This window comes from Homo sapiens, chromosome 3 (assembly GCF_000001405.40).
Source record: "Homo sapiens chromosome 3, GRCh38.p14 Primary Assembly".
NCBI classification, from domain to species: Eukaryota; Metazoa; Chordata; class Mammalia; order Primates; family Hominidae; genus Homo; species Homo sapiens.
Window position 1 is genome coordinate 55,700,223 of NC_000003.12, and position 26,104 is coordinate 55,726,326.

A 26,104-nucleotide genomic window follows, 5' to 3' on the forward strand; every position below is an offset into this window, starting at 1 on the left:
ATTATGCAGGGCAAGAAATGGACCAGTGATGAGTTGGCCTGACAGGCTCTCAGAATCTAGAAAAATGCCTAAAGACCACGGGAAAAAAGCAGACAAAATTATCCAGCTCAGAAAGTCAGGAAATGAGGGTTTGAGGACAGACCTGCCTGGATTCAAGTCCTGGCTCCACCTCTTTGCTGGTTATGTGAACCTAAGAGAGTAAACTATTTATAAACCTTAATTTCCTCAACTCTAAAATGAGAGGAATAGTGCCTCTTTCCTCGGGGTTGCCGCTAGGAGCGAATGATACGATGGACTTCAAGTGTCAGTCCAGTAACTGGCAATGAAAGTCAAATGCTGTCATTACTATAGTTACTGCTGTTGTTGTTTGCTGTAAGACATTTTTCCTCCTTTGTATGTGCTGCTTCCTTTGCTTGCAATGCCTCCCTAGCCCCCTTTCTTCACCTTTAACTTCTATGTCTGGCTAACTCAAACTATTTAATCTAGGAGCCTTTTCCTCACCCTGTCCTGGAGGCTGGGTGACACGTGCCTCCTGCATACCATGGCTCTATAACCACAGATTTATCCGTCCGTATGTCTGTAGACCTTGAAGCTATTTCTTTCATCTGCCTCTCCCTAGAATCTCGCATAGGGCCTAGCAGATGTAGATATATAATACATGCTGCTGTAATGAGTGACCAAAAGAATGAAGGGGCCATGATTTTGAGGGATGCTGCCATCCTAGAGACAAGCTACATGTTTGTTTTCAGCAGGGAAGGTCACGGAGAGTTGAGGACATTTCATGAGTTGCCATAACAATCCCACTGGTGGCTCAAGATGACAATGAACCAACAATACTTTCAGAGAGCCAGAAGTCAGTGGTTGGCAGAGCCTCCAACCAGTTGGAGTTTTATTATGTAATATAAATAATACACTGACAATAAAGAAAAGTCTGGACCTAACATTGTGCATTCTTAATAGTATTTTTCACATACAATCTAACTTATTCTCAATACTTTCCCAGGAGCAATTATTACTATCCTCATTTGGCAGCTAGAAAAGTAAGGTGTAGATTTCAGCCCCAAGAGTCTCTTTCTTGACATAGAACATGGAGATTTTCTGGGTCATCCAATTCTCAATCTCTAGGCTTTTTTCCTTGTCTTGCTGCTAGCAGAAAAGGCAAACAGCTAAACAGGTAGAAAGAACTTTCCCATAAAATGCTTTGATTCTGTTAAGTTTTGGAAACACCTCACATCCCAATTCTATCTGCCAGAGGATGTCTTATGATTTACTCACTCCATTTTTAAAAATGTGTACAATATTTGAAAGGCCCCAAAGTGAATGTTAAAAAAAAACTGTCTATATGAATAAAAACAATAAAAATAGAGGGAAAGAGCCACTTAAAATTAAATAAAAAATCCCAGGCAACCTCTGGCAGCTGAGAGCATTTCCATCCTTCACTTGTCCACTTAAAGTGTCAGAAGACCCAATGGGCAAGTTATGCCTTGTGAGAAAGAGCAGGTCAGTGGAGCTGCTGCAGACTAAGTACTGAGATTCCCCTCAGCCAGCCTGCCATTGCACATGAGATTCTGAAATTTGGCGTTTACACCTAAAATTCCAGTATTGTCAGGATCCTGTACTTTTGAACTCATGAACTAATAAATCTGGAATTGTTTCTTCTAAATAGAATTCTGAGAGCCTGAGGGGAGCTGTAAGATCTGCTGTGGGCAAGAAGGAAGGGACTCGCTCAAGAATGAAGGATGGAGCCTAAATGAACAAATAATAATTCTGCTATTGTAAACATCGTAATATCCTCATCCTTTGGGGAAGCTCCTGTGATTTTATGAGATTATTTTCTTACCAGCAACAAGCCTAAAGTTCCCTACCTTTGAACTGTATCCCATAAAAGAATGTACAAGCTAAACAAGATGCTATATGCAGTCCTAAATGTGTCTGCTAAAATGAGGTGTTGGAGAGTAGGCATGTCATGGGATAAAGACTGTAAATGAATGATGTCATCTTTCCAATTTGGTGCTGAAATATAAATAAACCACGTTGTTCATGTGAATACCAGATCTGGGGGAAATGTACACAGAGCAATTGTGAGCGGAAGAGGCTTCTTTTGATTAGTCTGGGCTGGAAGAGAAGAGTGTGAAACAGAGATGAAAAATGAGAGTTTGGTCTGATACTCTAGACCGTTTTTATTTATCTTGCTTGTAACATATCCCCTAAACTGTGACCGATTTCTTACCGGCTAGTTGCTGGTGTTCTCTCCTATAAAAACAGTTTGACCAATCTTGATCCTTTAATTGTCAAATTTAAAATGGATCTCTTTTAAATTTTTTTTTTTTAAGTCTGCACTATCTAGCTTCATCCCCACCCAATTATACCGGTTTACACATAGACAAGGGTCTGGAAGGACAGGAAGTCACAAATAACACTCCCTAACAGTCAATGAAAGAAAAACTACAGAAATTTGTAACAAGGATTGGACAGGGATACTGTTTGTTCAAATAACTCTAGGCCAACTTACCAGGTGATCCCATACATAATGGTCCACAGCCCTGTAGCCTCAGATGCTTGAGGTGCCCGCTGAAAAGCCTGAAGCAGCAAATCTTCTGGGCAGGCAAAACTAAACACCCAGGAAAACTAATATAGAGTTGGAGAGGGATTGCTTTCCACAGCATAGCACTTAGGAACTCAGGGACTCATTTAGCGATTCACTGAGGCCCATTTTTATTTCCTTTGCGGTGTCTACCAAACTGCTGACCAGACACCTTTGCCTTTGGCTAACTGTGTTATACTCTTTTTACTATATTACGTCATGACTGTGGAGACAAATCTAATCAGATTTCATTTTCTACTTCCTCTTTCTTCAAGGCGCCACCTTATTTCTCTGGGGCCATCGCCTCCTAACAGCTCTCCTGCTGCACTCTCACCTCCCATTGAACACATTCCATAGCCAGAGTGACATCAGATTTCTGTTCCTCCCTGGATTCAAGTTCTTGGGAGGCTCCCGCCACACTCAGGAAAACAGCCTGGGTCTTTGACATGCTTAGGCATCTCTTGCTAGGTGACTGCTAGTTACTTCCAGAGTTACACCTCCCAGTCTCCTTGTCCCAGCCTTGGGACATGCTGTTCTCTCTCTCGGTCCTGCTCTTCATGCTCTACCCCTTAAACCTGAGTTATATCCATTAGTTCTCTGGTCTTAGCTTCAATGCCATCATCTCCAGAGACAACTTTCCTAAGCCCGCCTCTTCCACTGCTTTCAGCAGAATCCTGTAGCCACCCCCCTGGGTCTCTGCCATCACAGAACTTATCTGAACCAATGGTAACTAACTGCAGGTTCACTTGGCTTTCTCCACCACTAGGTTGAAAATCTCTTGAGGGAAATACTATGTGTGGATTGCCCTTGCACTCTCCATCTAGTGCAGAGTCTCATGTCTTAGCTGTAAGTAAAAGTGTGTCAAAGTATATGAGTGTAAAAATGGATGGATGGAGAGGGCACACAGGCTACTGTGGAACACATAAGAGGGAAGATGGGAGTCTAGGATGAGCCAGTTGAGTATTTAACTTTTGATGTGGCAGTTTAACTTTTCCTGTTTATTTGTTTTTGTTTGTTGTAATTCTTGGGAGTGGCGAAGGAAGAGTATGTGCATAGCTTTGGAGCTGTTAGGCAAGTCGAATTGGTCTTCTTCAAGAAATATGCCATTCCTTAGCTAATTGGACCCAGTGCAATACTCTACCACCTCCCTGATTACTTACCTCACTAAGAATAAGGGGTGTTGGGGTGTTATTAGTTTCATTTCTTACTATCCCCTAGCGTTTGGGGGAGCAGGAGCCTTTAGAAAACCTCTGTTAGTGCCAAAAGTCAAACATGGAAAACTGAAACTTTATCCATTAACTAAAATATCTGATGAGCACCATCTGTGAAAAGGTGCCAGATACTCCAACTCTTTTGACATTTCTGAAGAGTTTATCCAAGGAGCTCTTGAAACAAAATGAAAATCCTTGATCGACTAGTAATAGACTCAATAGCCTAATGGCAATATGGAGTGATAAACACATTGAATTAAAACTGCTTTTAAAAATATTTTAGTAAGGTGGCAATAACAAACTTTGCTTTGATCAGTCATCTGGATCAAGTTAACGATAAAACCTTCATGAATACGGTTTAAATAGAAAAAAATATAATAAGATCTGTTGCTATGGGATATGGAGATAATACTGTACAATAGCAATTACTGTTTTATTCTATCAGGCTTTCTTTTCTGTCCCTTTTTCCCACTAGGGAAATCCCAAACGTTCAGGAACTCTTCTACTGTCTTGTTTCCACCTAATCAGAGCAAGGTGAACAGCTCTTGTCTCCAAGTAAAAGATGAGCAAACCAGACAAGAATGGGATGGCTAGGAGAGGAGAGATTTCCTGACCATCCACTAGACTCACATAGCAATGAATCATAATTGAGTAGAATCTAAGTTGCAGCACTCAGGTCACAGTTGGAGGACAAAATGAAGTCAGAGGATGCAGAAGCTATTAAAGGAATGTGCCGCATTGGGGAACTTTCTGGGAGTATGTAAGAATAAATGATGTAAAGGCTTCTACTGTGGACACTGCACTGAAATTCACTCAACACTTACTGAACATCTGCAACTGCAATGATGCCAAGAATAATTATGTGCCAGGCTAAGTGTTTGGCCAGCATTCTCCTGCTGAATCCTCACTCCTGAGATGGCTATTCTTGGGGCCCTCTTTTACAGATGAGGAAACTAAGCCCATAACTATTCAGCTAGTGAGTAGAAGAACAGAACTCAAACCCAGATGTCTGACTCCAGAGTCCTACAGCAGTGTCATGAAGGGTAAGGTCCACTCCAGGTGCAGGGGTGAGGCAAAGATGAATAGGACATGAGGAAATAGAAGCCTGACTATAAAACCGTATAAGAAGAGGAGGAGGAGAGAAGGGTATGGTTTAAATGGATGTTCAGAGGCAACAGATCCCCTCCAGCTGAGGGCAGAGGCATCAAATAAGGCTCCATGGGTCAAACGCCCCTTGAGTTAAGATTTGAAAGTTGGCTTGGCTATAGGTATAAGGAGAGTACACTGGGGAGATCGCACAGTAAAGTGGCCCTCCAATCACCTTGAGAGGAAAGCAGGTCAATGAGGGGAACTAGAACACCAAATGTGAGATATGCAAGTGTGTGTATGTGTGCGGGCTTCCTTCATTCCTTTACTGGATGTGGAAAGAGCAGGAAATGTATGTGAGATGAAAATTCACCACCTTATTTTTCAAAATAACATCAACCTGTGGCATTTGGAAGGAATTTAAGACAGAGCCACAGCCATATACTCACCCATGTCACACTGTAACATCTCTGGGAAAATGGGCCAGGCTCTTGGCATCTGTGTGTTTACAGATATCTACACAATCCACTGCTATAGCATCAGTCCTTCCCTGAGCACTGGTCTGATCTCCCCAAATTCATTCAGCTGATCCATCCTTCCTGCCCCTCCTCTATAGCAGAACAGAACACTGGTCGGACTCTCCCTCCCAACTTTGTTAAAGGTGGCTCTCTCTCTCGGTCCCTATTTACAGACAGAAATTTAGTAGATCATCATGAAGGTTTGGCTGGTGTTTTTATACCTACTCATTAAGCACTTTTATTTTATTTTATTTTATTTTTAATTGTTGCAGAGAATGTCAGGGTCCCTCCTATATTCTCTTGTTCCACACCAGATCTTGTCTGCAGCTTGGATGGACAGTCCTGGATGTGCTGCTGTCTTCCCACCAGGAGCCCGTGCATCTTCCTCGGCTTGAGGTCTTGCTTTGGCCACAGGTGCACACTTGGCCAGGGAATGGGGCAGATGGGAAGTGTTAGGGAGCTCACGCCCCTGAAACAACTCTAAATCTGTGAGGGAAGGAGATGGTACATAAATAGCCAGCATCCTGGCCCCTCAGTGGACAACCCTACAGTGTGCTCCAGAATCTTTCACTAGGTCCTCAGCAGTGGGAGCCCTGTTTGACTATAGCAGAAAACTGCCCATTGATGCACCCTTTGTTGGCCTTTTCCCTTCCCTGTATCACTGCCCCATTCTCTCACCATGTTTCTGGAGATCACTTCTCAAATAAACTACCTGCAGTAAAAGCTTGTCTTGGGATCTGTTTTGTTTGTTTCTGTTTTTTTTTGTTTTTGTTTTTGTTGTTGTTTGTTTTTTTGAGACAGAGTCTTGCCTGTCACCCAGGCTGGAGTGCAGTGGTGCAATCTCGGCTCACTGTAACCTCTACTTCCCGGGTTCAAGTGATTACCCCACCTCAGCCTCCAGAGTAGCTGGGATTCCAGGTGCCTTCCACCACTCCCAGTTATTTTATTTTATTTTATTTTTTGTATTTTTAGTAGAGATAGGGTTTCACCATGTCAGCCAGGCTGGTCTTGAACTCCTGACCTCAGGTGATCCACCCACCTCAGCCTCCCAAAGCAATGGAATTACAGGCGTGAGCTACCTCACCCAGCTTGGGGTCTGTTTTTGCAAGAATCTCAGCTAAAACCCTAATCATAGTTGAATAATTAACAAGCCTGCACTTAATTTTTGCACAGGACTAACACACCTGTGACTCCTAGGCTCTTTTCCATGGATACTTCTTGAGAGTTCTCATCACTTAGCGTGACAGAACTCTCACCTTCCTTAGGGAAGTAACACCTGCCTAGCACTAATTCAGTTTCGGCCAAACATTCATATTGAGACTCAGACTGAATCAGGATTCCTTGAGTCTCATTTCCTATATCTAAAAAATGGGCAAGAGAGGGAAGAATGTCTTCAGCATAAACCAAACACCATAGATAGACAGACAGATGCTGATCTACTGCTCCTATTGCATATTTTGTGCAGTTTTTCTTTTCTTTTTTCCTGCTAAAGTCAGGGGAGGGAAATTATGTTGCTAAGTTGCTTTCTGTGGCCAGGCGCAGTGGCTCATGCCTGAAATCTCAGCACTTTGGGAGGCAGAGGCAGCCGGGTGGCTTGAGCTCGGGAGTTAGAAACCAGCTTGGGCAACATAGTGAAACCCCACGTCTACAAAAACAAAATACAAAAAATAAGCTAAGTGTGGTGGTGCATGCCTGTAGTCCCAGCTACTTGGGAGGCTGAAGTGGGAGGATCACCTGAGCACAGAAGGTTGAGGCTGCAATAAGCTGTGATCATGCCAATGCACTCCAGCCTAGGCAACAGAATGAGATCTTGTCTCAAAAAAAAACATTGCTTTCTGCTGCCACCTTAGGAACCTGGGGAATCCCCTGAAGGGTTATGGACAGTGACTGTAGCCAGAAGCAGCATCTCCCCTGTTCTACTGTCAGCCAGTACAGCCCATGAGGAAGGATTATTTATAAAGAAAGAGTTCTATGTGCTCTGCTCATAATGTTAGGATCCTAACCGACATTGTGAGATGGAGCCTCCTGTTAACATAAAAAATAATAACCAATGCCTGCTTGGCCCTTGCTGTGTGAACAACACTGTGTTGGCATCATCTCATTAAGTCAGTCTGACATCAACCCTGCGATGCAGGCAGGGGTGGGGATTGTATTTAAAATCTTTAATAGCTGCTATGACAGATGCAGAAACCCATGAGAACCAAGAGTGACACAGTTGCACATGCCCTGAATATTTGCCTTGGTTGAAGCTTCTTATTACTCCCACTTTACAGATGAAGAAGATGAGGCTTAGGGATTAAGCAACTAATCAGAGCTCAAATAACTGGTAGATCTGAGGCTCTGACTGTGCAGCCTCCTTTGTAACCAGTGCATCCCACTGCTCAGATCCTTAAGGACCAGCCCCTTCATAAACAAATCAAGACTGACCTGGGAATGGGCTCTGATCACCCACTCCAATCATAGCTTTAAAGAAAAGCAGCTCACTTTTGATTTTAAAATTCCCTCTGAAAACGATGGAACTCAGACACATTAGAAAATCTTAATGGAGCCCCAAAGAAGTCCATGTTACTGACCATCCCCTAATATAAATTCAAAAGTCATTATGCACAGTCCACACTAGCGTTTAATGCTTCAACCAATGAGACAGCTAACAGCTAGGCTAACACATTAGCAACTCCAGACAACCAAGGAATTTCTAACATCCTGAGCACCATTGCTAGTGGCAGAGTCTGGGGGAAGGGAAAGGCCCTAGATGTTTCCACCACAAAGTTACTTAGTTAAGCGCAGGTCTGTTTAATTAAGTCGTGGGCAGCACATGCTATACTTAGCTTTTAAACACTTGTAAAGTCCTCTTCATTCATTTATCTTACTTGTCACTGACAAGCTCTTCAAGGACTGTAACAGTATGCAGAGCATGAAGAGCCTGGGTAAACAACACATATTTTATGTGGAGTCTAAACTGTTTCAACTCAGAAAGTCAATAGAGGGTCTCTGAAAAAAACTCCAGACTCTTCTACTACAGTGTGGAAACATTCTGTGCATGGTCTGTTAGGAGTTTCTTTAGAAAGTGAACTCCAAATAAAATCCTAATTTTTTAACCCAAAGGTAAAAAGACAAAAATAAATAAATAAATAAATAAATGGAGGAGTGGAAGAAGAAAGGTGGGAGAGAATGAAGGAGACTGGGAATAAATAAAGGAAGGAAGAAAGGAGGGAGAGAGTGAGGGAGGGAAGAGAAAGAGGAGAGAGAGAGAGAAGAGGAGAGGTAAGGAGAAGAGAGGGAAGAGAAGACAAGAGAAGAGAGAAAAAGAAAGGAAGGAGAGAGGAAAGACAGTGTTTGCAGGTATTGAGATTCGGACTCTAGAATTGTGCTGACAAGTGAAGACAACATTTTCATTCCATTCATAATCCAACAAATATTTATTATCACTGGTTTAGGGAGAACTGGCATCATCAAAACAGCTCCCTAACTAATGAATGGGCAAAACAGCCTCGGGGTATCGCCTAACAGAATTGGCCAATAGGCTAGAAACTGGAGCGTGAACATTCTAGTAGAACTCTAGGAGCATGTGAGATTCTAGGAGAATGTGAGGTTGAGTAAAAGCCAGCAGCGCCCTCCGAAAGAGGCCGTGAGAGTCTTAAACAGGGCTATGAAGAGAGGGGTTCACATACCCTTGGAGGCAAGATAATTCACAGGGAGTAAATGAACTGCTCAACAGTTACATATTTACTCTAAAATATATTAAAATAAATTATAACAAGCACATCAAAGAGAGGTTTCATAGAAATTATGTCTTAGGATGTGGAAAACACTGTGAAGGTAATCCTCAAAATGTCTGAAGCTTGAGACACCACCATCAGAAGGGAAGGGTAAAGCAAAGGAGAACGGACTGGGCAAGCAGAGGAGACTAGAAACTCAGGTCAGCCCAGAGAGAATGAACATGTCCTGAGAACTGTGGGAGGACGGAAGGACGCTCTCCTTCAAGGGCTTTGACCTTCGCGCAGAAGTGGAAGCAAATGCAATCTGGGCCTGCTCCCAGTTCTAAAGCAGAATGGAAGGGCATAAACCTCCCAGCACCTCACCTCCTTCAAAACAAAACAAATGACCCCCCAAAGGGGGAGAGAAGGGATGGGGTGAGCCATGCAAAACATGTGGTGGGGCTGTGTTGGCCAGCACCGAGCACAGTTTTGACTCCAGGAGGTGTGGAGACAGCCAGGAGAGGCTTGGCAGCTGGGAGGGAGAACGAGACAGGGAGAGGCAGCCAGGCCCTTGGAGGGGGAACAAATCCCTCTCCCCAGCTGGTCTCACGCTTGGGTGAGACAACTGGAGAAAATGTAAACATGCTCATTAGCAGTTTTCCAATCAGTTGAAAAACAAATGGGAAGAGAAAAATGGCAGGCGATTGTTCCAAATACCAACTCTCTGCCACATCTCCTCAGGTGTTTATCAGAGTTGCCCGCTGTGCTGTCCTCCCTTTCGTCTGGATCACAACACCTTTACTAGCTTTACACGGAACACTTGGAGCTCACCCTAACTAGGGTCGATTTAGTTCTATGAGGAGTCACATACTCCACTCAGGATAGAAGGTCTCTGTGGACACCCCCAGAGATGCACAAACAAGACAGGGACATCATTTGCAGGTCTCCCCACAGCCTCATCCAAGCTGATATTCTCTCAGTACATGAACATGAAAACTCATCAATAACCCCTACCTCTTCTCCTGCGATAACTTACCCCCCCAAAGAAGAGGCAAAGTGGAAATTTTGTGAATCTGTGTGTGAATCTGACAGAAATCCAATTTCCAGAAAGGATGAAGTTATACTCAAATTTCATCTGGAAATGTCTACTGTGTTGAGTCATATGGTTGTTTTTTTTTTCCTAACACATCAACTTGAATTCATTGAATGGGTACATTTCAAAAAACACTTTCTCTTAGTCACCTATTTAAGGTGGAATCCAAAAAGCCTGGTTGTCTGTGACCCTGAAGTTGAAATAGCTTAAGTACAAAATGTCCAAATGTATTTAAACTTGAATCTGAACAAAAATAGATACTAAAGTACATAACTGATGTTTCTTGATAGTACTAGGAAAAGGCGGGTAACTTGAAAGTTGGGGAGACCGTCTCGTAGACTAGAGAATTTTAGGGCTATTTCAAATCTCTCCCCTACAAATAAGGACTTGCCAGAACAACCCAAATTCATAAAATGTTAATACTGGGCCACATCTTCAATTAGTGAATCCAAGCTTACTACTTTACAGAGGGGAGACTGAGGCTCCAAGAGGGGGAAGGTTAGTTGCTGATGGGCCCAGGAGAAACCCCCAGAATACTTGACAGCTGGAACCTGGCCCTGTCCTTGCCCCTGGCCGTCTTCTCATTTGATTTGCAACTGCAGATGAGTCCACCATGTCCATGACCTGTAACACCACAGGCCCGACTCATGTCATTGGTTTTGCGTTCCAAAGTACTATGGTATTAATTTCCATTCTTTCAGTCTAAACAGCATCAAACACCTAATCATTTTGTTCTTGATGGCTACAGATAGGTTAAGGAATTTTCCATTTCCTTTGAGATAGGAGCCTCACTTCTCTAGCAGAACTACTGATTAGGCTTTATAATTTTTCTTTTTTAAATAACATCTGTAAGTTTTTATTATGTAAATCATACATGCTAGTTATGAAAAATTAAAGAGTACAAAAGAGTTTATAAAAAGAAAAGTAATGTTCTCCCTCCCTCTGCTCCAATATTTATTCCCGCTGTTAAGGTTTTTCTGCCAATCTTTCTAAAAAATTTTGTGCTTAATGCAAGCACAGACACACATACTTACCCTTTACAAACAATATCTCCAATATTGTTCTTCCACATCAAGAACATAGAGAGCTTCCTCATCATTAATGGTTGCATGTTATTCCACTCTATGCGTATACTTTTGTTTACCAGTCCTCTATTGATGTGTTCAAATAGAGACTCCAAAAGGGAAGATATCTTTTTTTCATTTTATTCCAAGATGCATCCCAAGCACCTAAAGCACTGCCTGGCACATATGGACATATAATAAGTGTTTGTTGAATGAATAAGTGATGGGCATTTGGGTCATTTCCAGCTTTTCATTTTTTCCAACAATGCTTAAAACAATATTTTTGCAAAGGAACAGCTTTGCTTGTCCTAATGTGTTTGTTTCCAACAAAGACGGATGCTTAAACATATCATAGCTGTTTCTATAATGTGCTAGGAAAAAACAAGTTCAAGAGAGAACCCTAAAATAGAATATACACATTTTAAACTTGGAAGGATATCACCAAATTCCCTTCAAAACTGTCAATCAACATCCAGCCTGTACCTCTTTCTCTATGCTGTGCTAACATGGAGTTTCTCCAAACTCTTTAATCTTCAAAAATATGATAGGTAAAATATTGTATCCCATGTGTTCCCTAATTATAATTTGAAGCTGAGCATAATTTCATTCATTTAGTGTCTATTTCTACTTCATTATCTGTGAGCCCCCTTTTAATGTCCTTTTTTCCCACGTTTCTTCTTGATCATTTGGGAACTATCTTCTTATTTGTTGTGAGAATAATTGTATATCTAAAGAAAATTAGTTGGGGCTGATTTCAGGAAGAGAAGAGCATAAGTGAAGGTGGGAAGAGGGCACATAAAAGCAGGCCATGCAGGGAAGGGAATTGTGCAGACAGGTGAGAGGCGAGGATGCCCAGGAGCCCAGTCATTTGAACACTTTAGGTGTTCTCTTGAGTAGAAGAGAAAAGGGGGGAAAGTGGTAGGTAGTTGATATGCTGGGATGTGAACAGAGTTGGCCTCTGTTGAACCATTAGCAGGAATAAATGTTAGCAGTTGATATGGGGCTTTACTTCTCTGCAGAAGATTGTTGGGTTTTTTGAGTGTTAAGCATGCAAATGCCACTCATGCTTGTGTTGGTAGAAACAATCTAATACAACCTGCTTTCCCAAACAAGACTTCTCTTTGTAGCCATCCTGGTGGATGGTGGTCCAGTCTTCATTCCTTATCACTGGAGATGGGAGACTCAATAGCTATTTGATAATGTATTAAGCAGCTTAAATAGGATGCTCCCTGCCTCCTACACTCATATTTTGAGCTTTGTACCTGCAGTTGTACCCTACTTCTGCCTTTTTGGGCAGCTCACGTCTTCAGATATTTGAATACAGTTATGCCCATTATCTATTTGTTGTTCTCTCAACTAGTCACTCCCCACTTCTCCTAGTCCTCTCTCTGTACCCCATTGCACAAGGTGCTACTACATGCATCAAGGCTCCTTTGAGAGAATTCTTTGAATAAAGCCTGAAACTAAGTCTTCACATGTGTCCTTACATCTGCTAAGCATGATTTAAAAATAAGTAATATACTCTTAGGTTCCATTGATTTTTACCATCTGCTGTGCAATGCTAATGCTCTAATTTACAATTGATTAAACTCATATCCTGGTTGTTAGTTCCTCTGCCATTCTCTCTCTCTCTCTCTCTCTCTCTCTCTCTGTCTCACACACACACACACACACACACACACACAAACCCCAGAATTTTAATTCTAAGTATATACTTCATTCTTTTCCTTATTAAAAAAAAATTTTTTTTTGAGATGGAGTTTCACTCTTGTTGCCCAGGCTGGAGTGCAATGGGGCAGTCTTGGCTCACTGCAACCTCTACCTCCCAGGTTCAAGCAATTCTCCTGCCTCAGCCTCCCAAGTAGCTAGGATTACCAGCGCCCGCCACCATGCCTGGTTAATTTTTGTATTTTTAGTAGAGATGGTGGGGGAGTTTCACCATGTTGGCCAGGCTGGTCTCGAACTCCTGACCTCAGGTGATTGGCCCACCTCGGCCTCCCAAAGTGCTGGGATTACAGGCATGAGCCACCGCTCCTGTCCCTTACTAAATATTTTGTTTAGACTTATACTGACTAAATTTGGGTCTATAGTTTCATCTCGCTGAGATGTTTCTCAAGTCTGATTTTGTCTGCCATTGTTTTTGGTAAGCTACATGGCTTTGATGCATCCTATTTTCACCAAAAAGCATGTTTTCAAAGGCTTTGTATAATTAGTTCCTTGTACATGCTGGCAGGTCACAGCCTAGCTCCTCTGGCAACCTCCCTATAGAGGTGACAGGATTCCCTAATCAACCTGCCTATTATAAAGCTGTTCAATCAACTATAAATCCATCCATCCAGTCCTTATTTCTCCATGTGGTAAAAAAGCTATTCATATACATATAAGTTTGTCCTGTTGTATTCCTAGCTGAAATCTTGGTACCCTGGTACCCTGCGACTATGCCATTCCCTTGACTTGTCTTTCTATCAACCTTATCAAAAACCAAAGTGACGTTAGCATTACTTAATCTTCAGGAACAAATAAATCTTAGTGATTGCTGATTTTATTCTCATTTCATAAGACATCAATTTAAAGACTTATTTTGCAATCTAGGTGAGGACCAATATTGAACCTATAGAACTTAATCAACATGACATTTGTCTTTTAGGCATTTAGTGGTAAAGTTCTGGAGGTGGGTAAAATTCAGAAAAGCCTAAAAAAATGGAAAGTTAATTTCTGTCTTCTTTGGGTGCTTTCATCCACTGTTGGCAGGATTTTAAGTTGGCATAAACTTTCTCAAGGGCAATTTGGCACTAGGTATCAAAATTTAACATATGTCTACCCTGTGGTCCAATAGTCTCTTCCTGAAAAAAATGTTGGAGAAGAACACAGGGATGAATACAAAAGGGTATCACAGGGATGGCAATCATAGGAGCAGTTAATGAGAAGTAACCAAAATGTCCATATATTAGGCTTTGGTTTATCAAATCATTAAATAGCTGTTATTCCTATAATGAAATATTCAGAAGCCAGTCAAAAGAGTGATACGTATTTGTATTCACCAGAAGGAAAGTGCATCACAACATATAATTAAATGGAAATAAAAGCAGGCTGTGAAACAACATGTTCATATAAAATAGTATATAAAAGTCTACATTTAAATATATATATGGGTTTGTATATATGTGTGTGTGTGTGTGTGTGTGTGTGTGTATATATATATATATATATATATATATATATATATATATATATATATGAAAAGTACAGAAAGATGAGCACCAACCATTTATAATTATTGCTGGGTATTTGGATTTTAGGGAATTAATTTTCTCCTTTATTCCTTTCTATATTATTTAAATATTCAATCAGGTACAAGAAATAATAAAACAATAAAAAAAAAAAGGTTTCTCTGCTCCCTATACAAAAATGCAGAGATATAAATTACATCTCATATTAGGGGGAGATACTGTTGAAATCATTTTAGTTCTGGGGAAAAGACTCCTGAGACTGAGAATTTTGACTTTGGAGAATTGAGACTCCTGTTGCCTTCTATTTTAGTGAACTACAACAGTCCATTCAATGGAGCACCCTAACTTACTGGCCACAGCTTTCCTCCTTCCACCTTAATCTTTTAAAATTCCAATTTCTCCTAACAACCAGCATCACCAATCTCTCTTAAGTTTAGCAAACTGCAATGACAGGCATGGTTGTGTCTATGCACAAACAGCTGGATGGGAAAGGAAAGGTTCCCAAGACCCTGTCAGGCTCTGAACCAAGACACTAGTGCCAAATTCAAGTCCTCCCCCAAGAATCCAGGGGACCTCGGCTGGATCAAGTCACTGTCTATCTGAATGTCACATCATGGGCCTAAGATTGGGAGTATCTCTTTGCTGGGTCTTTTCAAGTTGAGAGAGTTAATAGTATAGCTCTAAGTTCAGAAAATATCTTTTAATAATACAGCGATGCAACAATGTATAGGCTAAAGTCATGCAAAAAAATTTTTCTCATTCCCACACACTGAACTTGGTAATTATATAGAAGCTTGGACATTAAGGACCCAGACATAAAGGAGTGGATTAAAAAGCATAATTATGGCTCAGAAACAGCATGTGCCTGGGGACACTGCCAGCCAAGTCCTACCCTACAAAACAAAACAAAAAAAGGTATGCTGTGGGGTGTTTTTTTTCCTCTCTGCCATTTTGGGAAATAACCCATTAAAAGAATAAAGCACCATAATGATTATTTAGGAACAGACATGATTTGGAAACTGGTAGAAAAATAGGTCTTTAGTTCTGGAATTTTAAGGTTAATGGCCCAAGGATCTCTCAGACTCTGAAGCTTTATAGGACATTTTATTTGAAATCTGTGCTCAAGGGAATATACTTCAAATTTCCATGTCTCAAAAGCTGTACAATGGAAGGAAGCTGTTATTTTACTCTTGGAGTGGTGGTTGGGGGATGCATTAATGAAAGACCCAAATCATAACCTACTAACCACAGCTAAGTATGCAGAAAATAAGAACATGCCCTAGAAGGCACCCAACCTTCATCAAACCCAGGGCAAGCTTTCATGAGCAGAATGACCCAGCAATCTAATCTCAGCAGCCATTTTATCATTAATTGAAAATGCTGGTTCCAAGCTGACTTTGTGTTGACAGTTTTCATATCACACTCTTTCTTAAGAATACACAGTGGCTCCCTATGTCATGTGCATCAGATAGAAACAGTTCAGTTACTGGGCAAAGCCAACCTCTCACTTTCCTTCTTTAACAATCCACCTCCTCCCAGCTTCCCCCACAGAAACTCTCCCAAAGATTGTCTGTCTCTAATTACAAGCACACAGACTGATCTCAACTCTTGTGCTTCCCTTGCTAGAAATAACTTCTCCCTACAAAACCAGGTACTTCAGCCTCCATAACAGTTGGGTTCAAAATGTACCTTATTAAGAAAATTTCCATAACTAGCAGGGTCCTGGAGAGTAAAGAAAACCACAAGTGGGATCAGAAGGCCTGAGCCAAATGGTCAAAGTTAAGCCACTTAACAGCTGTGAAACTACCTGCAAGTTATTTAACCTCTCCAATTATGTGCAAAAGGCATCAGCAAGCCGCTTGATATCAAGGAAGCTGCTCTAGATACCTGAGCTAAGTCTGTGGCTTCTGATTCCCTTTTATAGCCCTTGAAATTCTGGAACAAGGTCCAGACCCTCTCTGTGCTCAATAAACTCTGTGGATCAACTGTCTGTCTTACCCATCATCATGTGCCCTGAGCAAACAGGCTTATCTCCACCTCCACCCTGACTCCTGTGACACAGTCCTATACCAGTCTCCAGTTATACCTTTCCTGGTGACAATTACAGCCCAGAGTGATCCAAAATCTTGCCATTTATTTTACATTTCCAGTAGGTGAATTTGCAAGGCTATCTATATATGGAGACCAAGTGTTTAGGGGCCCAGGGATTCCCACATTTAGGGGTTACTGACTCATTTCATTAGATCAATGCCTCTCAAATGCTGATCTGTCAACCAGATCTATCAGCTTCTTGGTGACTCTCCCCTGAGATTTTGAGTGTGTAGGTGTGAAAGTGGCCCTAGAGTAGGTATTCAGTGAAGGAGGAAAAAAAGCTTGCTGGGCGATGTTAAAACAGAGTCAGGTTTTAGGAACTGCTGCTGCAGGTAATCTAACTATTTTAAACATTGAGGCTCACGGACCTTGTTTTTAAAGACTGTGCCTTGAGACAGCCAGAAATAACCCAGAGAACCAGAAGTTAAAATAATCATCTGTATCATTTTTATAATTATTTCCTCTAATTTCCAACTTTAATTTGACACTGTCCTTCTTTACCTGTCAGTCTATGGGGCACAACGTTAAGCCTCTTGGGAGTTCCAAGCTGGGAATTACTGCATGCTAGAAAAGGTCCAATGCTGTTCACTATCTCTTCTTAGCATGTCCCTGCCAAGGAATAATCAGAAAAGGCTTCTTTAACCTTCTCCTTCAAGTTTTCTCCTTTCTCCCTCAGGGATGCCTCTCTGGGGTCCAGGGAAGCTTTCATGCCCGTAAAGACCTTGGTGTTGTTGGACATGAAAACCAGCAGGCACATATACTAACTTTGTCCCTGAATAAGTATGTGGTTTCTGTTTGGTTTGTTCGAGAAGCTCTTTTTTGGATTTGCACTTCAACACCGTAAGAGATCTGAGAAACATCCTAACATCCTGGCAAACTGTCAGGAGAACAATCGTTTGACTGGAGAATGAGGCCTCTCCTTTCCCAGAACTATCCTTTGCATTCTCTGAGTTTGAGAATAAATATAATAACAACCAAACAACCATAAAAGTTAGACCCAAGCCTTGACTTCAGATGGCTCAAGGTGAGGATAATAATCTACAAATCAATCCACAGATCGTGCAGAAGGGAGGAAAGATGTTGTGCTGGTTCCCTGATCCCTATCTGGGGTCCCAGAGTTCCATGGAACATTCCAGAAGTAATTTGGCTTTGTGCTCAGTGCACAGGGACTAATGTTTTTCAACAAAATTTCATAAGGAGATGTCGGGATAATTTTGGGTCCTGCTCTCAACAGAAGCTGAAAATTAGGTGTGGCTAAGAAGACAGGATCAGGCTTTTTTATGTGACCGCTGTTCTGACAAAGTACCCAAGCAGTGAAAAATTGTCTGCCTTATCACCACAGAGAATTTATGATGGATTTGTCCAAGAGGAGTCCTGCTCATAAAAGCCTGCAAAACAGATCTATTAAAACAAACCTCTAATTATGAACAGAACAAGAATCCCACTGAGATAATTTTGCAGCTATAATATCAAGAAATTCAATAATCCCAAAGCCCAGTCACAGAATCATCCGACTTGAGAAGATTTGAGTCCGTTAAGGGTGATTACTGGGCACGCATGACTGACCACCAAACTAGGTGAGATGCTGCTGATAAAAGAAAAAAGAACAGGACAACAGCTTTCAACTCAAGCCATTTAAAATATCCAACAATGGCTTACAAGATAAAACTGTTTGGCAGCAGAAAGGGGGAACCTATTATCAAGTATATTTTCTGGACCAAATACCAGAAATGTAAGTAAGATGACAGGATGTGCCAGAGGTCATGTAAATGTGGGTGACCTGGTAAAGGAATGTGGAATGCCTGACTTCCAGCCAGCACTTAGCTCCTTCCACTGTGGAGGAAGTAAGGACCAAGGTCAGAAGGATGCTCTGCCTGCCCCTCACAGACTCTCTCCATGCTCAGCGGAGTTATTATTAGACTCAAGCATCACACATCACTCTAACATTTTCCTCAGAGAGAAATCTTAGGTTTCTTCTACTTCCTCAATTCTTCTGGTCTTGGTCAGGACATTAATATTTGTTGAACAGCATGTTTTTAAAGTGGAAAGATATTTCAAAAATCAAATATTCTGGTTTGTTTCAAAGAACATGTTCTCAGCTAAAGCCTGATTCTTTCTTCCTGTGGGGGTGAGCCACAGTTGGCAATGATTCACCGAAATTTCCACCAGCTAACAATAAAAAATTATGTCCCATTCTGAAGAAACAAAAGAAAAATTGTAGTGAAGTCGTACATTTCCTTTCCAGTCCCCAAAGACAATCTGAAGAACTGATTCAACATGCCGAATTAAGCCCTGAGAATTTATCCATATCTAATAAGGATTAGCAAATGTTACAACACTGAACATGGCTTGGACATAATTTATATTCCAACTTCTAAGCCATTGGGTTTAGTATGGTCTCATTCCAGCCGTGACATAGGAGGATACAGAGAGCAGTCATGCTGTGTCCTCTGAGAATCCCTGCATGACAAGCAGGAGGGCTCTTTATGTGAAAAAAGGTTTCTTTACACAGGACCAGTACCCACAGAACCAGAATGTGATAACTAAGTCTAAAGAACCACTGAGGGGAGATGTGCAGCTTCCCTCAAGCCTAAGAACATTGTTCTAGAAGCAGAAAACCTAGTGATAGAACCCACTCTGCCTCTTGCCAAAGCTGGGTGTCCACCTGCAACTTGGAAAATGTTGGAAACAATTCTAAATTACATATTGGGAGTGAGGAAGATTAAGACTCCTAAACTTGGGGCTAGCAGCTCTGGTTGGGTCTGCTCCATTCCATTTTTCATCCATACTTGCCAAAAGCACAAAGAGGCAACTGGGACATTTGCTCATACTATCTGCTATTAAGATAAATCAGCAACACTTAAGTGTCTGGTTCATAAAAAATAAACCCCCAGAGATTGCTCTTCCCCCACCAATATATCAACTTTTTGTTTCCCTGCCTTAGCAAGGATTGCATCAGTAGAAAGCTCAGGAACACACAGGCTTTTCCTGGAAGCCAAACCACATCTCAAGAAGCCTCAGAAGACCCTGGCCCCAGCAGACCCCCCAGAAGCCTAGACATGCAAACATCATTGTTGGATGGGTATAAACACCCCTTTCCTGGAGGGAAAAATTCTGGAACCCATCCTGAACTGGGTTCTTTCATTCCTTTCTTTCCTTTCTTTCCTTCTCTCCCTCCCTCTCTCCCTCCCTCTCTCTCCTCCCTTCTTTCCCTCCCTCCCTCCTTCCCTTGCCTCCCCACCTCACCTCCCCATCCCCTCTCCTCCCCTCTTCTCTCCCCTCCCCCTTCCCCTCCCCCTCCCATCCCCCTCCTCCTCCTCCTCCTTCTTCTTCCTCTTCTTCTTCCTCTTCTTCTTCTTCTTCTTCTTCTTCTTCTTCTTCTTCTTCTTCTTCTTCTTCTTCTTCTTCTTCTTCTTCTTCTTCTTCTTCTTCTTCTTCTTCTTCTCTCTCTCTCTCTCTCTCTCTGTCTATCTCTCTGCCCCTCCCTCCCTCCCTCTCTTTCTTTATGAGACAGGGTCTCACTCTGTTGCTCAAGCTGAGTGCAGTGACGCAACCATGGCTCACTGCAGCCTTGACCTCCCAGGCTCAAGCAATTCTCCTGCCTCAGTCTCCCGAGTAGCTGAGACTACAGGCACATGCCACTGCGTCCAGCTAATTTTTGAGTTTTTGTGGAAATGAGGTCTCACTATGTTGGCCAGGCTGGTCTCAAACTCCTGGACTCAAGCAATCTTTCCGCCTTGGCCTCCCAAAGTGTTGGGATTACAGGTGTGAGCCACCGCACCCAGCTAACAGGGTTCTTTGAAGACAATGTTTGCTCATTCTGTTCTATTTGTTTTTCTTCACAGATAAATGAGTACCTGGCTCCCAAAAAAGCAGAAGAGGGGACCCTATGTTTGAACACTGCCACTCAAGTTCTTTCTTCCTTGGTCAGTGAACAAGTCATGTAGATCCTAGTTTATGTTGAGAGATTGTCACCAGAGATGGTATGGGACCACCATTCCTTGAAGCACAGTGCTACCCTGTGGGGAAGAATAAGATAGCCCCATCTTTCCACCTCACAACTAAGATCAGCATCTTGTACATTTCTTTAATCCTTAGGGGTTTTAAAGACCTTGCCCCAGAGAAGATGCTTCAAGATAATGCTTCTCTGTGAGTTAGGTAGGAAACAATGTACCCATTTTATAGGAAGGTAAGTTGACCTGCTCAGCATCATACAACTAGTGAGTGGAGGTGAGTCAATGAGCAATCTTTGGAGCTTTCCTTCTTCACTGTTGCCTTTGAAATCTAGAATCCCCCAATATTTCCTGATGGGGAAAATGGCAATTGTATCTTGATGGGAAAGCAAATGGGCAGAGTGCTGCCTTTACGTGCAGATTAGCTGAGTGTGTGTCCTGGCCCAACCACTTATCAGCTCTGTGACTTGGTTTCCCCATCTGCAAAGTGGGCATAATGATGGTACTGCCTCTTCAAGTTTTTGTGGGGACTATAATAAAACAAAGGCACAACACTGTGCCTAGTATACCATTTCTTGAAGAAGTGTTAGCTGTGTTAATGTTCTACTGAACAATGCATCTTCTCTACTCAACTGTAGGCTCTGCAAAAGCGAATCCTGCCAATTGCCTGTGCATCCTCAAAGGCCTTGTCATAGATCAAGTACTTAACGTACTATGTGTGAATGCACTGGAATAATCTCAGACAATCAAAACTACAAGGGCTTAGAGGTCTGTTAGCTTCTCTCTTTTACTTTACAGATGGGGGAACTGAGCCTGTGAGAGAGAAGCAAAATGAGCTGCCCAAGGTTTCTCAGTGCATTGGGACCAGAGCTGGGCTAGAACTCTTGGGTCCATTCTCAGACCCTGAACCTTCTACTGCCTGCCAGGGCTCCCCTGGGGAGGTGGGTTGCCTTGCTTTGTTTAAACTTTTAACATTACACTTTAAGGTGGCCTTTGCATCAGACATCTCAGCGAGCATTAGACCCCCAAACCAGGAAGACTGACAACAGAAACTCTGCCTGGCTTTGTGATCCACATACCTCCTTCCTACCCCAGCACCCTAAGTGGCTTCATCACACCCAAGGTGGCCCAGAGCCACCTTTCTGGTTGGCTTCTGAGCTGTGTTTGTAATTCTAGGAGTGCTGGGCCATGAGAAAGAGGAAATAAGCCAGCTGCAAGATAATCAGTTAATTGTAGTTTCTGGGGCGTAAGAACAGCCTTGGATTTAGACCTTCTGAGTTGCCATTCTTGTGGGTTTTCACTGTTTTCTGGGATGACCACCTCTCTATCTGATCTAAAGTTATAGTCTTTTTGCCCAATTCCATTCCCAGGCTGTGTCAAAGATCATTTGAATGAAGATTTTTTGGTTGTGCCCAACGGGGTCATGTCTCAGTGGCTATATCAGGGCAGAGATAAGAGAATGGGGTTGGGTTGTTGTATGCATATTAAAAAAAAATAATAATGTCATCTAAACACTAGTGTTGTGGGGTTCTGGCTCCCCCACCTTGTCAACTTAGCAACTGCACGTGGGGAGCTGGCCCAGAGGAACAGATTCCAACTTTCCTGGCTGCAGTTTGTCCTCACTGAGGTCTCCCCTCCATGCACAGGGCTTCCACATGGCTCACCCCCCACTTGGCTGGAAAACTCTAGTGCTTTCCCGGGCAGGGTATCTGTGGAACACCCTATTCAAAATCAGCTCCCCAAATCCCTCATAGAGCATCATCTTTGGTTTTTCCCATAGTATTTATTATCGTGCAACATGCCCTACATTTGATGTCTTTATTTTGTTTCTTGTTTCTTCACTGGAATAGTTGGGGCAGGGAATTGTCTGTTTTGTTCACTGTTGTGTCTCCGGTGTCCAGATAGTATCTGGAACGTAGTACATGCTCAACAAATATTTGCTGGATAAACTGCCTACTTCTTTCCATGCCCACCTAAGTTTTGAAAATCTCTCTCTGCCTCTTGTTGTCTCTGTTTACTGATCACTTGCACTTCCTGTAGTAGGATTCTGCCCCAAATCTATGAGTGGCATGTTTTCAGAATGTAGCCTGAAAAATTTAACACGAACAGTTGACATTTATTTAAATATTTACGAATGTCAAGTCCACTGTAGGAGACGGCCATTTCTTAATGCTCTAAAATCTTAAAACTACCCACAAGTCTAATAATTCAACTCTTGGGCATTAATCCTAAAGAAAATAACATAAAAAATAAAAGACTTATGTACTAAGATGTTCATCACAGTGTGATTATAAAAGTGAAAAGCTAGAAACAAATCAAAATCCCCAAAACAGAATGGTAAAATTAATGACTGCAAAATGATGGAAATCATAAACCAAGAAATATGTTTTCGAAGGCTTTTAAGGACATGGGAAAATGCACAAAATATTAAATGTTTAAAAGGCTAAACAAACTTTATTATGTAGTATGTCATGTCTTTGTTCAAATATATATGTAGACAATGGAATGTAGGAAACTATAAATCTTAGTGACAGTTATTTCTGAGTAGTGGGATTATGGGTAACTTTAGTTTTTTATTTACATTTTTTGAAGTTTCTATTATGAGCAAATATTATTTCTATGATAAAAGATGTATCTCTATGCTTTCAACTATGGAAAAGCTCATTTACATAGAAAGAATGCTACAAAATCAAATCCTTATTACCTTTTAATCTAGTGCATTATTAAGGGGTAACATTGAAAAAAAACAATAAACAAGGGAGATTCTGGAACTTTTAGTGTGTTGCAGAGAATCAAAAGAAGAAAGTGACATCTTCCCCAAAAGAATATAAAGTTGAGAAAGATTAAAGGCAAACTACTGGAAATTTTAAATTCCAAGTCTGATAAATGTCTTCCTGTAATCATGAGAGGAGAGGGTGAAAAATCCTTTTCCTTAATTTTCAGGAAAAAAATCCTGATACTATTATTTGAAAAAGCTGAAAAAGAAGAAGTTCTGAAGCCAGGAAAGGACAGACCTGGTGTGCACCACAATGGTGATCAATGACAAAATCAATATCACTTTAACACAGCTTTTCAAGGGGCAGTATGAAGCAAAAAGGAAGTGAAAAGGGGCTTTTCTTTCATTTTGAAATCCAGCATCAGGAGGACACAAGGGCAGGAAGTGGGATCTTTTTTCAATGTATTTGAAATGATAAGGTGAAGACAGGCTGAAAGGACTTTTAATTATATGATGAGAGGAAGGAACGGAGGGAGAGAGAGAAAGGGACCAGGAAAAACCTGGTTTTATATGTTAAATGATGAAAAAGAAAATGTAAAACTAAAGAGAAAAAGGCTTTCCAACAGATACCTTGAGAATGAAACACAAAGGCTGCAGGAGGTAAGTGCCAACATTTCTTGCAAGAAAACCAAAATGACAGCACACTTGATTGAGCCTGCAGCCTTCTCCCCTAGTGGCAACCGGTGATGTCTGGTGATGCAGGAAGAGATAAGTCGCCCTTCCCAGCCTGCACATGGTGGCCTCAGGTCATGGCGGGAGCCAGCAGGGGCCAGGCGAGAAGGGTCAGGAGGGGTGGGGAGTGGTTGCTCAGGGTCACAGAATAAAGCCTTCTTTATTCTGCTTTTTAGCCTCAAGTTTACAGGGGCTAAGACCTAACTGAAGTATTGCACCAATTCAGGGATAGCTCCTGGGAAGAGCATGGAAAAGCTTCAATGTGAGTCCCATTTGGGCTCTGGTTCCACCCCTTACCAGCTGTGGCATCTCTGCATAGTTCCTGAACCCAAGTTTCCTCATCTGTAAAACAGAATTATTAACATCTGGTTTTTAGGGTTGTCATGAGGATTAAATGAGATAATATATTTAAAATCCCTAGCCCAATGCCAAGTATACAATAAGAGCTCAAAAACTGTTGGTTCCTCACATTCTAAAATGTGAATAGAAAAACAATGATGAAAAGCAAGGTCTCTGCACACATTATACCCACTCCTAAGCCTCACTGAAGCAATGTCAGTCTAATAACTCCCAAAATCCACACAGTCTAACAGCTGGATTCCTCCCCACAAAGCCTAATGGCTCCCTGGTGGCCAACATCTTGGGAAGTTTCTCCTGTACACACTCTACTTTGGTGGTGGATCTGAATGTTCTCTGAGGCGGTAATGAACAGGTTAAAGTTGAAGGGATTTCAAACATGTCTAATCCAATAAGAGGCTTGGTAAAACATGCGTTATCACTTAAAGAATAAATGTTTAAAAATAGAGCACAGATGTGAAATTTGAATAAAAAGAGAGAGAGAGCACAGTGAGAGATCTTCTTGGCATTTGCATGCTATTCCCTGTTTTGGTCACCTTCAGCTAAGCCTGTTATTCTGATATGCTCTGCCAACTGCTCAGTGCTGTGGGGTGCTTCAAGTTACTGAAGCAAAGTTGGCAAATCACTCTGAAATTTAAAAATCAGAGCCACCTCCCCCTTTATGCATTTCTAAAAGCCAGGGAACACAATGGTAAAGTTGATCTTTTCAAGTTTTTCTAAACTAATACTTAAAAAGCAAAGAGTGAGTTTCTCCACTCCTCCTAAAACTAGCAATACTTGTACTGGGATCCTTAAAACCCTAAGAGAAAGTATCATGGTTAAATAGGCATTTGTCACAAAAGGTGGGCTACAGATTGCCAATCACAGAATTCATGGGAATTTCTACTTATGTAGAAAGCATTCTCTGATTCCTCCAGCAGGCAAAGGTTTTTGAACTTCAGTAACATCTCTGCAACAAAAAAAAATAGCACTTTGTCCTATTTTATCTTTCATGAGCTAGTATCTATGATACTGCTAGTAGAGATGATAAAACTCCAAGGCTTAAGGACAAAATCAACACCTCCTATAGCCAAAGAGTGCCCATAAGTGCTCCATGCATGTTTAGGGAGATGAACTAAAATATGTTTAAAACAGAGCTTTCACCCAAGGAAGACACTCAAGTGAGAGACTCACACAGTTGGCCATCAGGTCAGCTTGATGCTCTGGGAAGATGCCCTTCTGATAGGGATTTGAAAAATGCATGAAATCAGAGAAAATACTTTGCCTCCATATTCACTGAGTGCTATTTTTTGTTGCAAGGGCAAACTGAGTGGATTCCCTGAGTACTGGGGTTGAGGCACCAGCTGCCTAGGATAAAGAATGTTTCCAGGCTAAGAGAGCAGATGAGTGTCTTACCCAATTGCTTGGACATTAAGAGGAAATTGTTTACAGTAACACTGAGCAGTTCAGGCTTTACCTCCATAAGAATAACCTGCCAGATCTGAGTATTTCTTTTTTTATTAAAAGGGGTTCTCTAGAATAGACTGTAAAGACACTTTGCACTGAAGTCAAAAATAAATAGAGATGTGGCTAGATTCTACCGGTGGGACACAAACAGCTTAACCCAAAGTGGGTCTGCTGTAAAAACCAATACATTTGCATTTTAGCAATTTGATCTGGACCAAGTCTGTGATGCATTACAATGCTGGGATCAAATCAAGCTTTTCTGGAGGTAATCCAAACACAACAGGAGGCTATGGGAACCCTACTGCATGGGGTTCCTCTACTGCTG

General features: G+C 41.7%; 1 protein-coding gene across 20 annotated transcripts in view; it reads right to left on the bottom strand.

Moving 5' to 3' along the window:
• The window catches only part of ERC2 (ELKS/RAB6-interacting/CAST family member 2), a 960,157-nt gene that overhangs the window by 191,912 nt on the left and 742,141 nt on the right, over nt 1-26,104 (bottom strand). The gene's annotated exons all lie outside the window — the stretch shown is intronic.